Source organism: Homo sapiens, chromosome 2 (genome assembly GCF_000001405.40).
Source record: "Homo sapiens chromosome 2, GRCh38.p14 Primary Assembly".
NCBI lineage: Eukaryota > Metazoa > Chordata > Mammalia > Primates > Hominidae > Homo > Homo sapiens.
The window spans coordinates 175,923,679-175,942,417 of record NC_000002.12 but is presented as its reverse complement, the minus strand read 5'-3'; the positions used below and the strand labels follow the sequence as shown (position 1 = coordinate 175,942,417).

At 34.3% G+C, this 18,739-nt stretch overlaps 1 protein-coding gene across 11 annotated transcripts in view; it reads left to right on the top strand.

Moving 5' to 3' along the window:
- The window catches only part of LNPK (lunapark, ER junction formation factor), a 78,939-nt gene extending 60,403 nt beyond the window's left edge, over positions 1-18,536 (top strand). For 6 of the 11 annotated variants that reach the window (XM_006712783.3, NM_001305011.2, NM_030650.3 and 3 more), the window contains 4 exons: positions 2,761-2,866; positions 4,035-4,105; positions 4,904-5,074; positions 12,219-18,536. In XM_006712783.3, the coding sequence (XP_006712846.1) occupies positions 2,761-2,866; positions 4,035-4,105; positions 4,904-5,074; positions 12,219-12,451 (581 nt within the window). In that variant the 3' untranslated portion in view covers positions 12,452-18,536. Of the gene's footprint in view, positions 1-1,337; positions 1,431-2,760; positions 2,867-4,034; positions 4,106-4,903; positions 5,075-6,627; positions 6,711-10,255; positions 10,331-12,218 lie in introns of all 11 variants that reach the window. The other 5 variants (NM_001305010.1, NM_001305008.1, NR_130941.2 and 2 more) reach the window with 4 other exon arrangements.
- Positions 18,537-18,739: the final 203 nt, after the last annotated feature.

Genomic DNA, 18,739 nt, shown 5'->3' with positions numbered 1-18,739 from the left:
GGTAAATGTTTTATATTTACTTGAAAGAACATGTATATGTCATGGGCGATTGGTTCCAGGATCCCCCAGTGGATACTGGAATCCACGGATGCTCAAATCTCTTAAAAGAAATGGCATAGTATTTGCATATAATCTATACATATCCTTCCATATACTTTAAATCATCTCTAGATTACATATAATGCATAATAGAGTGCAGTCAGTTATCTTTTAAGGTGATTTAAATAATAAAAAGTCTTATATATTTACCCACATGATAACTGTTTTAGATTCTTTATTCCTTTGTGTAGATCTTGCTTTCCATCTGCTATCACTTTCCTTCTGCCTGAAGGACTTCTTTTTAACATTTCTTGTATTGTTCTTCTAGTGATGAATTCTTTCAGTTTTGTATATCTGTAAAAGTCTTCATTTAAAAAAGATGTTCATACTGGATATAACATTTTTGACAGTTTTTTCTTTCAGAACTTTAAACATACTGTTTCATCGTTTTCTGGTTTGCGTCTTTTCTGATGAGAAGTCTGCTGTCATTCTTATCTTTTTCTCTGTACATAATGTATTTTTTTTTTGTTTTTTTTTTTTAAGATTTCTCTCTCTCTTCTTTTTCTTTTTCTTTTTTTTTTTTTTTTTGAGATGGAATCTCGCTGTGTTGCCCAGTCTGGAGTGCAGTGGCACAATCTCAGCTCACTGCAACCTCCACCTCCCAGGTTCAAGCAATTCTCCTGCCTCAGCCTCTCAAGTAGCTGGGACTACAGGCGCGTGCCACCACGCCCAGCCAATTTTTGTATTTTTAGTAGAGACAGGGTTTCACCATGTTGGCCAGGATGGTCTCTATCTCTTGACCTTGTGATCTGCCCACCTCGGCCTCCTAAAGTGCTGGGATTACAGGCATGAGCCACTGCACCCGGTCAAGATTTTTCTCTTGATTATTGGTTTTAAGCAATTTGTTCATGCACTGTCTTGGAGCAAAATAATGTTTCTTGTATTTGGGATTTGTTGATATTTTTGAATCTGTGGGTTTATAGATTTAATCAAATTTGGAAAATATGCATTATTTAAATAGTTTTGTCTTTTTCTTCATTTTTCTCCTCTTCTTGATGGACCCCAATTATATATAAATATAAATATAAATATAAATATAAATATAAATATATTAGGCTGCTTGAGACTGTTCTGTGGTCTTGCTCTGTCACCCAGGCTGGAGTGCAGTGGTACGATCATGGCTCACTGCAGCCTCCACCTCGTGGGTTCAAGCAGTCCTTCTACCTCTGCCTCCTGAGTAGCTGGGACTACAGGTGCATGTCACTACACCCAGCTAATTTTTGTATTTTTTTTTGTAGAGATGGGGCTTCCTCATATTGCCCAGGCTGGTCTTGAACACCTGAGCTCAAGTGATCTGTCTACCTCGACCTCTCAAAGTGCTGGGATTACAGGCATGAGCTACTGCGCCTGGTTGTCATTTTGTATGGTTTCTATTGCTATGTCTTAAAGTTCACCAGTTTTTTTGTGTGCAGTGTCTAAACTGTTGTACACATAATCTGTGGATTTTTTTTATACTAGACATTGTAGTTTTTATCTGTAGAAGTTCAATTTGGTTTTAAGTTTTACATTTTTTTATGTCTACTTAGCATACTGAATCTTTAGATTCTCAAACATATGAAATATAGTCATAGTCATAAGAATTGTTTTAATATTGTGTACTAATTCAGTCATTTTCATAATTTCTGGGTCAATTTTGATTGATTTTTCTTATCAGTGATATTTTCCTGCTTATTGGCATGTCTAGTAATTTTTAATCTGTTGCCAGAGATTGTGAATTTTACCTTATTCAATACTGGGTTTTAAAAATTCCTATACAGTACTCTTCTGAATACTTTACCTAATGGCCTGTGTGTTAGGAGGTTCTCCCACTCTGATTGGAAATGGGCAATATTCTTGGCCCTGTATGAATGCTGTTTCTTTTCACCTTTTTGAGTAGTTTTTTTCCTCCATCCTCAGATAGTTTTCTCACATGCATGCACCAGTCAGTACTCTGCTGAATTCTCCAGTAGACCCTCTGCAAATCTTTGTTGTTCTTTCTCTGTGCCTTCTCTCCTGCTTGGTACCCTTTCTTGTGAACTCAATATGCCTTGGCCTTCTCAGAATTCTGGCTTTGTCTCCTCAACTGTGAGAGTCTGCTACATTTCATCTGGGTTTACTTTCTTTTCACTGCCGAGTGGAAACTCTCTATAGGCAATAAGCTGGGGCAGTTGTAGGGCATGTTTTGTTTTTAGTCTTCTCAGGGAACAATAACCTACATTGCTTGATATCCAGTGTCTTTAAAACTGTTACTTCATATGTTTTGCACAGTATTTTAATTGTTTTAGGTGGGACGTTAAATCTGACTCCTGTTGCTCTATTATGGCCTGAAGTGGAAGTCCCCTGATTTACTATCACGTAGGCTTTTAAGAGTTGGAGCATTTTAAAAACATCAGTTTGTACAGAACTAAGCATAATTTTATTTGCTAGTAGTTATGTAGGAATCTACTACAGAATCTACTAGCAAAGGTAGTTCTAATATAGCACATATTTAAATATATTTTGTAGTACAGTATTTTTAATGAAAATTTGAATGTTCTTCAGAGATTTATAAGAATTAGTATTTTGCTATTTTGTTAAAACCTTTTAAAATTTCTAACAAGTATAGGTAGTTCTTGGTAATGGAATTAAATTTTATGTGTATTTCATGTATATAAATTTTGTATGTATTTATTTATTTAATAGGTCTTCATCCTCCAGGTCCACCTTTAGCAAGACCTATTCTCCCCCGAGAACGAGGTGCTTTGGATAGAATTGTTGAATATTTGGTTGGTGATGGTCCACAAAACAGGTAATATTTACTAAGGTGGTAGATAAATGAAAATGAAAACAGGATGTGTGTGTGTGTGTACACACTAGATGTTTTAGTTTTGTGGCACCTATTTTCTGACTTTAGAGCATAGTGGAGTATTTTATAGCCCTGCAAAAGAGTACATATTCAATTATTTGACAGTAGAAGTTTTGACAACATAGTCTGGATTAAATCCATTTTGAAAAAATATTAACTCTGCTATAACTTTTAGAGAAACTGGATTATTTCATTGAAACTTTTAAACTTAAAAAGCAAAAACATAGTTCAACTCTGATAGGTTCTAAGAAGTGGAGCTTTATAGGTATCAGTACTGGACTTGGTGATAGTAGTACTTTTAATGTTAAGAGCAATTTGCATGTATTTATTTCTCAAAATGCTTTTCCAATTATTCTTAAAATAACTCTAGGAAGATCGTATGATATGTACAGAGCAATTGTCAAAGTATAGATTTTTAAAAAATTCATCGGATAATAGATGTTTGACAGCGCTCCTAATTAATATTATTTAAAAAAAGGAATGAGAATTTAGTGTTTATGTAATAAATCGTATGTTATTCAAAATAGAATGACATTTGATATAGCGAAGTATTCATTGAGTATATCCACAGAGAACTGAGAAAGTATATAAATAGATGTTTAGTGTAACTGGGAAAGGTATAAGAATCATGTATAGTAATTAATCTTTGGGTTGTACTAAACAAAATTAAATATGTTTGTTTGCCGCAAGACATCTCAGGTTTTAATAATATTCATTGTGAATCTCTAAGAGGGTTCCAACTTTTCCAGCCTTATCTGACCACAGATTTGGAGGCTTTCATCCCCAGCACTATACTCTGGGAAACACCAAAATTTAAGTGTTCAGTTGTCAAATATGTTTCTGCTAATTTAATAAAGATATATTCATTTAACTGTTAGTTTATTTTAAATTTGATGTATAAATTATATTTTTAAATGCTTGAAATTTGGGCTTTGGTTAATTTTGGCTTTTATTTAATGAATATTGTTTGTTGTTTACTAAGTCTCATATAATTTGTTATGGCATATTTAGCTGTGTTAAAATATAAATTAGCCATGATGGCTAAATTAGTCTCTGTCATGAGCTTTGTTTGCATTTGTAACTGGTCTGTTCATTTTTCCTTACGGTGTAGGTATGCACTTATATGTCAGCAGTGTTTTTCTCATAATGGCATGGCTTTGAAGGAAGAATTTGAATACATTGGTAAGAATTATTGGGCAATGAGATTTAAATATTTTATGCTTAAATATTTTATTCTATGCCATTTTCTATGCAGTGTCATTTTATTTTATATACTCTCTTTGTATACATTGGTTAGGCATATTATCCTTATTTTAGTACATAGAGCAAAGCAGGGAAGACAATTCAGGTTTCTTCCTATATAATGTACAGCCCCTAGGCCAGTTGTTCTCAAACCCCACTGTGCATCACAATCACCCAAAGAGCTTAAAATAATTATGATACCCAGGACCCATTTACAAAGAGTCTCCTTTAATGGACTGAGTATGAGGTCCAGGCATCAGTATATTTTTTAAAGCTCTGCAGATGATTCTCATGTGTAGCCACTATTAAAAACTACTGTGGTAAATTGAAAATGCTTCTGAAATATTATGTACTACATTTTCATGGGTAAATGTGCAAGCTTCTGGATTTTAAAATACCTAATGATTCTGGTTACTAGAAATGTAATCTCACTAATTCATTTAAATCATTAATATTATTCTGCTGTCAACCTGCTGTGTAACTTATTACATAGTTAGCCTGCTATGTAACCTGTTATGCCTTTTCTGCCTTTAATTTTAAAAATTAAAATTCTAATAATTAGGAAGTATGCTTTAGTTCTGTTTAGAGCATCTACCATATTATTATTTAAATAACATACACAGTAACTTTTAAAAGGTTCTTTTGAATATCTGCAAAAGTGATCTTGTGAGTTAACTAATTAGTTCTTGAACTTTGCTTGGTTTGTGGTTTTGCTTATTTTTAAAAAATTCTCTGCAGCTTTTCGATGTGCCTACTGTTTTTTCTTGAACCCTGCAAGAAAAACCAGACCTCAGGCTCCAAGACTTCCTGAGTTTAGTTTTGAGAAGAGGCAGGTGGTGGAAGGTTCAAGTTCAGTTGGTCCCTTGCCATCAGGAAGTGTGCTTTCATCAGACAACCAGTTTAATGAAGGTATGAATATGTTAAACAGTTTTGCCCCTTAATAACATGTGTTATTTAACAGTAATAAAAGCATAATGCTTTTAGATAAAGATGGATTAATTTATCAGATTTTGCTGCATGCATATGTCAACTACGGCTCTGTTACCATAGCCTCCTGTGTGATAGGTGTGATGTGTTTCACTTTTAACATGCAGGTTGTATTGTGATAAGCAACATCTAACATCAGCTAGTTAAATACTGTTTATGGAGTGACCTTTTCTAAAAACTGTTGGGAGATTTGATTAGTAATATTTTCATGGGTTAAGTTTTTCAATTTATCTGAGTGAAACAGATTATTGGAATTATGAAACAACTGTTCAAAGGATAAAATACAAGATTTGTGATTAATATTGATAAAATAGGTTTGTATCTACCACACAAATTGGTAGAAATTACCAGAAAGCAGGAAACTTTGGAATTATAAAGTTATCCTTGCATTTTTTTGGATTACTGTATCAATAGGACTGGTATTTCATTAAAACAAACAATTTTCTAAAGGTTCAGAAGATTAACATTGCCTTTGATGTAAAAATCAACCTTATTTTAGAGAAATAATTTATCAGAATTTATTGGGTTTTAGAATTCATCTTACAATTCTGTTTTAGGAATTCTTGAGGAAGTTTCATGAAAAAATGGAAAAGATGAGGTGGAAGATTAGACTATTGCCAGCTCTTTCTTGCTACAGTATTAATACTTGGTCAGGAGCTCTTTGTTAATTAGCTCTGAATTATGAAGATTGCCACAATTATGAAACAGGCCATAATGTTTTGTTGCTATGTGTGATATGGAAAAAAATGCATATTAGAAGTTTAGTTCACATAATTTATTTACCAGTCAGGATTAATTATTTTAATTTCTAGGAATTATCGTTTACATGTATTTGATATTTTCTTCATAAAAACATTGAGTACTGTAAAAATTGCTTTAATTGAGAATATTATATGAAGCAGTGAATTTTCAGATATCAGAAATTTAGTATGGGATTTGAGTATCGATATTTTTTTTTAACTTTGAAGAGTGAACCTAAAATGTGTGTGTTGAATTGGGCTTGGCTTTTGGCTTACTAACAAATATCAAAGTGAATTTGAATACAGATAGCTATGACAGAGGCCTGTATTCTTCCAACACTGAATCAATGCATTCATCTTCTCCAAGTCTGCAGCATCACCTTCAAACAAAATGTCAATTTTTTTCTTTTGCTTAAGTCGTGCTCTGAGCTGCATGCTGTCACATGCAAACCATCTGCCTTGCCATTGCAGCCTTTTGGAACTGAAAATTAAAGGATTTCATACTGAAGATGCCTAGAGGAAAAATTGAAGTCTTTTCCATGACTAGCCCTGCTTATAGAAGCTAAAGTGAATATCTGTAAGCTAATAGTTGGGACAAAAAAAAAAGACAGGAAGAAACAGTCAACACAGTGAAAATCTTGATAATGAGTCCCATACTTTCTGTCTTCTGCTAAGGTCAAGATAGATAGTTAGCAAACAACACCCAGCTATACCTATCCTTCTCATCTAATCTAGGAGGAGCAATACCCCAGACGTCTCATTTTCTGTCTGAAATTCCTGGAAAGAAGTCTTACTGGCTCAAACCCAACCCCAATAAGGTAATGTTATTACATGAAGACAAAACTGGAGGCAGGGTTTGATAACTCCATAATGCTAAAAACTGAAGCAACAATTCCATTTGGTTAAGATAGTTTCTAGAATAATAACTTTCATACTTCTCTTTGGATTCATCAAAGTGGCTATGAGCATCTTTTTCTTTGGCTTTCCAGAAGATTGAAACTTTTCTCAAGACATCTAACTCAACACTGTGACACACAGTTATCAATTCCAAGCTGGCTTCCTTTAGTAAACAACTAGAAGTATATCTGATGAACAGATGAAGCTGCATTTGTTTTGAACCCCGGTGGCTTATGAGTATATTGAACTATTAATGAAGACCACATCATCTCAATCATCTACTCTTTGCTAACAGACAGTGTTTTAGATTTCTGATTTTTAAATGATGTAGATACTTGAGGTCTGAAAAAAAAACTTTTCTGCTTTAATTCTTATATTATTAAAAGTATTGCAGTGGCTCCTTCTTAGCAGCAGAAAGTGTAGAGATGAAGTTATTGAAGTTACAGATGGAACCAAAAGATAACTTTCTTCCATCCAAACTTTTCTTTAAACAAATATCAGTAACCATTTTTATGAACAATCAAGAATTAATAGAAGAAATATTTTTTTTTCAATCTGTGATGTAAGGATTTTGAAGTTAAGTTTTGCCTGGATTCTGATTTTGGAAGATTTCGCATTTAGGATGGGGCACAAAGCTGTTAAAATTTCTGGACCGCTCTTTAGAAAAACATACAGAATCTTGGAAAGTTTTCATCAAAGGAGGAGACCTAGAAGAAATTTCTCTCATTAATTTCTCACCTGAATACCTGGAATATTTTTTTCTGGAATTTTACATCCAGATGCTTTGGTAATAGATTATTAGAGAAATACAAGAAATTATGGATATAGATTGTCTTTTTGCTTGAGGGCATACTAAATACGGCAAGAAATGAACTGCTTTTAGGTTCCTCAGTTTCTTTTATGGTTAAATAGATAGTACCGTAATACTTGAATCTCTGCTAAGTTACATTAAGGTGGTTTATCAGTTTTACCTTTTTTTAAAAAAGCATTCTTTTTATGGTATGTGATAATCATTAGAGTACTAGGTTTCTACATTGTTGATATTCTAATGCAGTGATTTTTTGGCTAGCATGTTTACAAAATGTTACTGTTAATATTGTGTTTTTATTGCCCAGTTGTGTTTGTCTAGGTCTCATGCAGTTATTTTAGTAGAATATAGTTTTTGTCCAATTGGAAATAACTTCCTAATAATAAAACTCATGGCATCTAATCAATACTATCAAAAATAGCAAGTGAAATTTATATAAGGTAAAATTTAACTTGATAATATGATTTTAGTCCTTCTCTTTCTTTTATGCAAAATACTGTTACCATTAGGTTGCGCTGAACAAGGGAAAATTCTTAGTATTTTTGTTATGCTCCAGGAAATTAAACTATTTGATAATGTAAATTTTGTTGTATTCCATGTATTTACCAGATCCATTAAATAATCTTTTTATACCTTTGTTTATATTTACTTATGTGCAGCCTTCTCAAGATATGTAGTATGTTTTTGCATGTTTGTTTTAGACACAGAGATCTTTTGGCCGTCTCACTCCCTTTTCTAAAACACTTTCACTTAATAGTTTAGTTTTAGATCATTGCTTAATAATTAAACTCTTGGCCAGGCACGGTGGCTCACGCCTGTAATCCCAGCACTTTGGGAGGCCAAGGCGGGCGGATCACAAGGTCAGTTCGAGACCAGCCTGGCCGATATTGTGAGACCTCGTCTCTACTGAAAAATACAAAAATGATCCAGGTGTGGTGGCGTGCACCTGTAGTCCCAGCTACATGGGAGGCTGAGGCAGGAGAATCACCTGAATCCGGGAGGCGGAGGTTGCAGTGAGCTGAGATTGTGCCACTGCACTCCAGCGTGGGTGACAGAGTGAGACTCTGTCTCAAAAAAAAAAAAAAAAAACCCTTAACTTGTCTAATTGATTTGCTCAGAAATGGTAAATAATTAAATGGTATTCTGTATGTTGATGAATACTAGCTATTATGAGTGGTTATAATTTAATTGAATTTTATTTACTGAGTTATTGGGTTGAGTTGGGGTGAAATTTATACCTTTGTTTCTTAAATATGAGTTAGCCATTTTCCTTAAGGCAGGAAAATCTCGTAAAAAGTGCCTTGTTTAAAACTTGTGAGTTAAAGACATATTGTCAATTTTAATTTAACACAGTTCCTTTGGGTAAGTTTGTAGCTTACATAGATAGAGGGTACTGATGTGTTAGCAAGGCAAAAATATATGAAGTTGTTTTGCTAGACTATTATTTAATTTTCTTAAGAAATTATTTTTTCAAGAACTAGAGTAAAAACCTAAACATGATATTCTTTACATGTTTTTGCATGTGTGTAGTTTATAGGTGGGGCAGTGATATTCATTATATAATTACACTGTTTTATGAGTTTCAGTTTTCTAGCTGAGTTGAGACTTTGCCCAAACAACTGGAAGCCAATTGTTACTATTTGGTAAAACAAAATAATAATAATATCTCAAGAATATTGAGGTTGGGGTGGGGTGATGGCAGGAGTGGGGAAAGAAATTGCATGGATCATTTTTTGTTTTATGGCATTGTGGTATATTGTTTTCTTGACATTATAGATGCCAGAGTCGATTTTAAAATTTTTCTTACAGATGGAATTAGGTCATTCAGGTAATTGTTTCATGTCTTAGTCTTAAACTGGGCCATAAAGGGAAGAGTAGGGTTGTTTAATTAGTGTGAACACAAAGCCTGGTTTCTCTTATAGTATTTTATGCCCAAATATTAACATCTTGCGAAATATATTTTATTCCACCAAGCTGTTTTAAACTACAACTTCATGGAAGAAATTTGCTGTTTTTGTTAGAATGGGCAAATGATGTGCTTCCATAAAAATGAAAAAAGTATGTTTGTAACACATTAAATAATCTTATAAAGCTCTGTGATTATTAAATTTATATGTAATTCTCTGTTAATCATTTACACTTAATTATTTAGATCTTGTTTGATGACTTCTTACAAAATGGCATTGGCATCCAAACATCAATACCTATCTTATTTAGACTACCTGATGTCTACATTGTAGATGTCATGTCACATACCAATTTTTTGTAGTGTTACTGCCATTAAAAAATTGCTTTTCTGCAAATTAACCCAGGGGAAGAAACTTAATCATTAATAGGCTCTTTGATTATTTTCAATTTCCACCCATTTCACCAATTTTGTAGTCTTCCACATATTCTCTGAAATACAGTAGTGACTGGAAGACTTCGTGTATCTTGTTTTCTGATTATGATAGCACATGGTATTTCTATGAATTCTTGTATTGCAGACATTTAAAAATTTCAGTATTGTAGTTCTCCTCCTTGTATTAACCATTTCTTTGTGGCCCCAGAATTTGTACATTAAATCGGCTTTGACTAGTAAAGTCTATTTTTGAAAATAGTAACATCACAAAACTTTAATATGACAAGCCTTGAATTTTGATACCTCTCCTGTTTCAGTACAGTATTGAGGCAGTCTGTCAGACAGAATATGACAAACTATGTGGGCCTGTTTTCACTTAAACATGTTTATTGGTGAGTTACATCCTGGATTCTTAGCTTTTTGTTTTTTCATTTCTTGTGGCTTTATTGGTTTGTTTCAGAAGGCTTACTAAACTATAAGAAATTGTGAAGTTCTTGCCAAGTAAATACTGCTCTATGGCCAGAGAGTTGTGGAAAACCATGACGCTTAACATTCTGTCTTGGATACATTCTGTGAGGGTAGAATTACAAATGATTGGTGACTCCTGAAGTTTTCCACGGATAACTTGTTTGCCCTTGTAGCAGAAATGATTTGTACATGCCTGTAGTTTCATTTGCCCTTTCTGCTTTTCCTTTCTGCTCTGGAACATTGAAATAACAAAATTCAAGTGACTTACTGTTTTCTAACTTGGATTTTTATAAAATTCCATGTGTGTAGCAATGCCATTTTAAGTGCCATGTTAAGATACAGATAGGATTTTTAAAAATGAGATTTGGCACAAATTAATTTATGGACATTCCTTACTATTTTTTGTGAGCATAGGAAGTTTTCATATAGTAAAACTATAGAATTTGGGCCTTTATTCTACATATCAAAAGGTGGAAGGTGGTTATAACTAATTATATAAGCCAGAGTCCAAGGTATCTCTTTAAAGAAATAATTCTTTTTAAATATTTTTAAAGTCTTGGCATAGAGTATGTGAGCTATAGATAAACTTGTATGGTAAAACCATGGATTTCTAAGACTTCCATATTAACACATGTGCATATAACACATAATTTCTTTGCAAAACAATTTTATTTATTTAGCAAAACTGACCTTTATTATACAAGGAACTTAATTAGAACTTTTTACTAAGGCTGGCCTTCCCTCCAGAGTTTTTGAATCAGTAACATTTGTAGTATATCGTAAGAAATCATCTATGAGAGTGGAAAAATATGCTTTTTTTCTCAACTGATATGGTTTGGCCATATTTCTACTAGCAAAAATACTAATTGCTGTTTTTTACATAAACAAAGAAATACCTTAAAGCTAGATTTTTATCTTTAATGTAGAAATTGGGTGGCCCAAAGGTTGTCTGCTCCAGTCATTCCCTCCTCCATCCTGTTCTTTAAACCTTAAAGAATTAAAGGCAGTTTATTCAATACAATTGTTATATTATTTTTAAGGGATTTGAATTCAATAATACTTAGAGAGTTTAAAAGGAGTAAATTTTCATGTAGGGACTAGTACCCTTAACTTCTGCTATGGAGATGGGATTAAAAGACCCTTCTCTTTCTCTCCCTAACATGCTAGGTATGTAGTACATTCTGACCCAGAGGTTAAATACAGAGGACTTGTCTTGCAGAGGGATGAGGAGAGACTAGTCATGCCTTTGGAAAAGATAGAAACCTGACTTCCCAGTTTTTGGATAATAGAGATGTATATCAGTGTAGGAACGCACCATCCACCCACACCCACACACACCCACCCACCCACCCACAAAGTACACATTTACATATTACTCACAGGGTTGCCTGGACACAAGGGAAACAGTTTCTTCAGGAAATGTAATCTGGACATTAATACATTTGCATTGTTTGCTGGACTATTGTATTATAGCACATAATTCTGTTGGGACTATGATTTTTGGACTTCAACTTTCAGATGTGTCTTTAGTAACTTATTTTGTATGAAAATATGGGACATTAGAAAAAGTATATTTATGGGTTTTTTTCCTCTGAATTACTTTTTTTTTCTTCTATCATACTAACTGTAAAGAGAGTTATGTACTTATTGTAAAAGATTTTAAGGATAATGTTAGACAATTGTATGGTTTCTTTGTGTGTGTGTGTGTGTGTGTGTGTGTGTGTGTGTGTGTGTGTTTATCTTTTTTGCTTGCCTTATTTAGCAGTTTTAACGTTCAGGTATTCCTAAAGTTTTGAATCTTTATCTTTTCAGAATCTTTAGAACACGATGTTCTTGATGATAATACAGAGCAGACAGATGACAAAATACCAGCTACAGAACAGACAAACCAAGTGATTGAAAAAGCATCTGACTCAGAGGAACCAGAGGAGAAACAAGAGACTGAGAATGAGGAAGCCTCAGTGATTGAAACCAACTCCACAGTTCCTGGAGCTGATTCTATTCCTGATCCTGAACTAAGTGGAGAATCTTTGACGGCAGAGTAGTAAATGCTTCCACGTGCCTTCAACTGGATATTTATAGTCTTACTGATGTCAGTTATTGCTTTTTCGGTGGCACTTACTTTTTTTGCCCCTCTAAGGGTATGCTTGTGTATCATTTGAATTCAGATTGCCTAGCTATTTGAACATCTCAAAGTTATATATACTGGGTATTAAAATTAAAAGCAAGTTATATCAGTGAAGTAAGATCCTTTTGAATGTACAAAGACCCACACTATTGAGACAGCTTTTAGATACTTTTTTGTCCATTCTAAAAGTAAGCAAACATGATTGCCTTCTTGTTTTCTGTATGTATAACCCGTAAATATCCATTTTGACATAGGAAGAACTTTGGTTAAGAGTAAGTTCTCTAATTGTGTTTGTTTTAAGGAATGAAACTTGGTTAAGATTTTGACTACTTCATTATTAAAAATTGATAGAATTTTAGCTCCTGAGATATTTACAACTGGGAGAAATGTCTATTTAGGTGTTTACATTAAGCGGTATGAAAGTTGTTACCACATAGGCACTGGTACGAATTCTCAATAAGAATGCAGTGGAACAGTTAAGTAGAACTGTAACTACGTTGGCACTGGTACGAATTCTCAGTGAGAATGCAATGAAACAGTCAACTGCAGTGTTTCTTTTTGATGTCTTTTATTTTACAACTGGGCCAAAGGCACATTATGTATATAATTAGTTTATATTTACACACTAGCATATAGGAAATATTTCTGCACTTGACCCTATTTGAATTCTGAGCATTATTTATAAGTATAAAATGATGATATATAAGTGAATTTTGTGCTCTTGTTTGTATTTTATTAAGGAAAATGAAAATAATCTGGCATCAGTTTCATTTTGCTAAATATCTAGTCTTCTTCAAACAGTATCTTGGTGGGTGACTTGGCTACCTGAAAAATCTTAGGAGGAATAGCTCACAATACAATAAATCTGTAGATTCTGCTTAGAGCAAATTATGGTACTTTTATTCAGACTTGTTTCCTTTCTAGTTAACAGAAATAGTGACATTTAGAGGTTTTAATCAGAAGTTAGGTTTTTCTGATTCAGGAACATCGTAGGCCAGCCATTTGTAATTTTTAACTTTGAGAAACAAATTTTGTGAGAATAGGTAGTGGGTTGCTGGTAGTTAATTGGATTTAATATTTGTATTAAGGATTAACTGGAAAAAATGTGTCTCAGTGCTAATTCTTGGACCTTTAATACAGTGTGCTTATCTGTTACGGCCTCCTTTTATCTCTCTTCTCCAATATTAAAAAAAATGGAAATCAAATTATTATGCTGAAGGGAAAAATATACCTGTATAAGAATGGTGTGTTTGGCTAATGTTTCTAAGTTGCACACAGTTTATTAACAACTGAACAAAACATTTTTATCATTTAAAAATCTATTTTTATGATTTAATATCTCATATGTGACAGTTTTTTTTTTTTTTTTTTTTTGGAACTCAATCTGTTAACAGTCTGGGACATCCGGTATAGTAACCAGAGTTTTTGAGCCTGCCGTATTGGGCTTAAATTTCAGGTCTGTAGTCTTGGGCAAGTCACCTATAAACTCACTGAGATTATTTTTTCATCTGTAAAATGGGAAGAGTTATGTTTATTTTTGAAGGGTATTAGGATAATTAAAAATAATGTAATGTGCCTAGCACACTACCTGAAAACGATGGCATTTGTTCTTATTAATGTCTTTAAAATATGCAAGGACCATAAGTTTTTCCTCTTGCAGATGAGGAAAGTAAAAAATAATACGAACATGTAATTCAGCTTCTCAGATTCAAGCCAATGTTTTTTGCATCAACTTTTCTATATTGTATGTATGTATATAAATACATAGATTAAGGAAATAGGAAACTGAAACTCTGTGGAATATAAACTTTTTAAAAATAATTTCATCAGGTTTTTTGTATGTTACTGACCCATATGGATTTTAGTAACATCTTGCTTAGTCATGTTGTTATAAAACATTCAAATTCTGATATACATTGCTTGAAAATGAGTGAGTACCTCAGAGAAATTTGATAGACTCAAACAGATAGTATGAGAAATATCTTTGAAAGAAATATGGAGGAAGGTTAAAAGGGGATTAGTAAAATTAATGCGATAGGTAACATGTTTGTAACCATATAGTATCCTTTTAGATACAAAAGCTTATTTTCATTATTATTATAATAAACAGTTAATGGTTGAAACTTAGTAAAATGTCCTATTTCTGATTATTAAGACTAGTATAAATGAGAAAATCCAAGCTATTAAGTACCATTAGCTACAGTGATCTTAGCTTCCTTGCTTACAATTGTTCAGTGGGTCATCTAAATTCTTCTATGTCCTGAGCATGATCTACAAACATGGTCTAGCTTCTGTCTCTCCGTCTTCCCGCCATCATTGTGCTGTAGCCATATGGAACTCCTTTCAGTTCTCTGACCATGCCCTTTCCTGCCTCAGATTTCAGCTTAAATTTTGCCTCCTCAGAGAGATGCCTTCCCAAACTCCCCATCTGAAGCTGGCCTCTGCCTTTTACTCCCTATCATGTCACTCTCTGCTCACCATCCTTATCACAATGTGTATTTGATTTGTTTGCTAGTTTACTGTCTTCACAACATAATGTCCGTTTGTGCAAGGGTCTTATTTTTCTTATTCATGTCTGTATCTCAAGGGTCTAGCACAATGCTTGATGCATATTGTGTGAATAAATACTTTGTTGCCAAATCCAGTGAAAACTCTCAGTTCTTGTTTCACTGCTTGGCAGTATTGACATTGAATATTCTCTGAGATACTTTTTTTCTTTTGGCTTTTCATATATCACACTATTATTCTCTTATTTCTCTGGCCTCTTGCTCTCAACGTCCTGTAAGTGTTGGTGTTCCTTAAGTTCTACCTAGTGTCATCATTTCTTCATTCTGCATATTCTTTCCCTAGGGTTTCTTCCCAACACCAAAGGACTTACCATCTGTCTCTCTGAATCTCAGATCTCCAGCTTTGATCTGTTTCCTTTACTTTAGAGCTATATATTTGCCTGCCTACTGGCCTGTCTCTCACAATCCATATATTCAAGAATGAACACTATACTTTGCTTCAAACCTTCAGAACATTCAAACCGTTTATGTTTCTCATCTAATCAAATAGAGTTACTCTCTAAGCCAGAAGCTGTAAACTCATCTCTTTTCCCTTTATTCAAGCTGTCAATTTTTGTCTCCTAAACATCTTCTAGTTATATTCTCATTTCTCTGTTCACATTGCATTAATAATGATGATAAACATTTGCATTCTTATTCTGTGCCAGGCAACATGCTAACTGCTGTATATATATTATTATATTTGTACTTTGGCAAGAATCCTGTGAAGATTTTTATCTTTGGACTACTAGAAGAGAAAGCTGAGTTGTAGAGAGAGTATGTATTTAAGTCCGTTTGGGCTGCTATAACAGAATACCACAGACTGGGTAACGTGATGAACAAAAATTTATTTGGCTCACAGTTCTGGAACCTGGGAAATCCAAAGGCATGATGCTAGCATCTGGTGAGGGCCTTTGTGCTTTGTCATCCCATGCCAGAAGGCAGAAGGGTAAGAGAGGGCAAGAGTGAGCAAGAGATGGAAGTTGCAACCTCAAGCTCTTTTATAATGAGCATTAATCCATTCATGAGGGCTTCACCCTCATGACCTAAACATCTCCATTAGGCTCCACCTTCCAATGCAACAGTTAGCATAAGTTTTCAACACATGCTTTTTGTAGCATTCAAACCATAGCAGGAAGCAACTTTGCTTAAAATTGTATACCTGGTAAGTGGAAAAAGAGGGATTTGAATATAGGCAAATGACTTCAGAGGATTTACTCTTAATTTCTGTTGTACTGCCTTCTAATCTTGGCCTCCATCATTTCAGATTACCAAAGCTGTCTCTTAACTGGTTTCTTTGTCTCCAACCTTGTGCACTTGCTATCTATTCTGTGTGCTGCAGCCTGAGTTTTTAAAAAACAGAAAATGAGGGGCCAGGTGTGGTGGTGGCTCACGCCTGTAATCCCAGCAAGTTGGGAGGCTGAGGCGGGCAGATCATCTGGGGTCAGGAGTTCGAGACCAGCCTGACCAACGTGGAGAAACACTATCTCTACTAAAAATACAAAATTAGCCAGGCGTGGTGGTGCATGCCTGTAATCCTAGCTACTCAGGAGCCTGAGGCAGGAGAATTGCTTGAACACGGGAGGCAGAGGTTGCAGTGAGCAGAGATTGCGCCATTGTACTCCAGCCTGGGCAACAAGAGTGAAACTCCATCTCAAAAAAAAAAAAGAAAGAAAGAAAATGAATCTGCCACGCCATTGCTTAGACCCTTTAATGACTCTTGAGTGTTCTTGGGATGAGGTCCAAATTTACTAATAAGGCCTGCAAAGCCCTGTGTAATTTTGCTCCTAGTTATGGCTGGCATCTGCACCACAACTACAGCCACTGCCACCTCCCCCTGCCACACACACATTTTAAAAGTAACAATAGTAGTGTTTTCTGTGTTTTGCATATGCAGTCTTTTCTCATCTCCCAGCCTTCTTGAGCTTTTCCTCTGCCTGAGATACGCTCCCACTCACATAGACATTGGGGGCACTAAATAAAAATAGCTGTTTAATTGAATTGGAATCGTTCCACTTGGAACCCAAGTTTGGAAATTTTGCTACTTCTTGTTAAGCTAGGCCTTTTATTCTTGAAGTTGCTATTTCTCATACAAACTCATTTTATGCATTAGACACACAGTCACTATTGTTATGGAGAACATAGTTGTATCAGAAGAGGTATAGCTTTGGGTGTGGATGTGCGTGTGTCAGGGGAAAGATATTCTGATTATATGATGATTTTCATAAAATATAGTATGCTGAGTTTCCGAAAATCCTAAATGACTTAGAAATGGTGCTATATGTGGTTTGTTTGACCCCTGCAAATCTCATGTTGAAATTTGATCCCCATTGCTGGAGGTGTTTTGAGCATGGAGCGGATCCCTCATGAATGTCTTGGCGTTGTCCTTGCAGTAATGAGTTCTTGCTCTATTTTTCCTCCCCTGGAAGCTGATTGTTTAAAAGAGCCTGGTATCCTCCCTCCCTTTCTTCTTTGCTTCCTCTCTCTTGCTGTGTGATCTCTGCACACACCAGCTCCCCTTTGCTTTCTGCCATGAGTGGTCTGAGGCTCTCACCAGAAGCCAAGCAGAGGCTGGCACCATGCTTCTAGTACAGCCTGCAGAACTGTAAGCCAAATAAACTTCTTCTTTGTTTTTTTTTTTTGTTTGTTTTGTTTTTTTTTCAGTAAATTACCCAGCCTCAGGTATTCCTTAACAACACAAATGGGCTAAGACACAGGGTCATAGGGATAGCAGGCACCTGAGCCAAGCCAGAACTTAGATCTCAACTGTTAATGCAGGATGATTTGTATTGAACCATGAATTTTACACTGCCTCTCAATGTTGGTGTCAGCATTTAAGGTTATTTAAAAAATACAACCTGAAGGTTACATAAAGTTTCATTTAAAAAATAAGACCTTATAAGTCTACTTTTATTTCCAGTGGACAGCAACTACTTAATCGTCTTAAAACTTTCTTCTTACAATATTACTTTACAATATTACCTGTTGGATTTATTATCTGTGTACAAATCAGTTAGTTGAAGGGCCAAAGAATAAAGGCATTTTGTGAATTATGAATAGCTATTTTGAAATGGTCATGGAGACTAGCTACTCTAGAAAATTGGGAGAATATACTGTATTAAGTTACTATCTGGTATAACTTCAATTAATTGTGAAAATTGTAGCAGAGATCTAGATATAGTTTATGAACTTCTAAAGAGACATTAAAGGGAATTCAAGTACTTGTGTAAAGATGAACCAAGGTAGAGATGATTGTGAATTGGTGATCTGCTGTATGTTACAGTTATGTAATTTGACTTGTTTCAAAATTATTAAAGTTTTAAGTGTATGCATTCTACTGGTCAATAAGTAAATATATTCAGGCTCTGAATGTAGACAGATAAATATATAAATATAGAAAGTACATTTGTTAGAATACAAACAAGAATAAAAATTGAGTACAGAATGAAAACCTTATTAAATTTTATCACTCCATATATTATTTGTCTCATCCTAATTTCTTTCCTCCTCAGAAACTAATCTACATTTTCTACTTTAATGCTATTTTAAATGACTAAAAATTACTAAATTTATTGGGTAGTAGGTATCTTGCCCCAATTGCCCTTTATCAGTTTGCCTGTGTATGAAACTTGGATTCCACTTAATTTTCCATTCTTGGT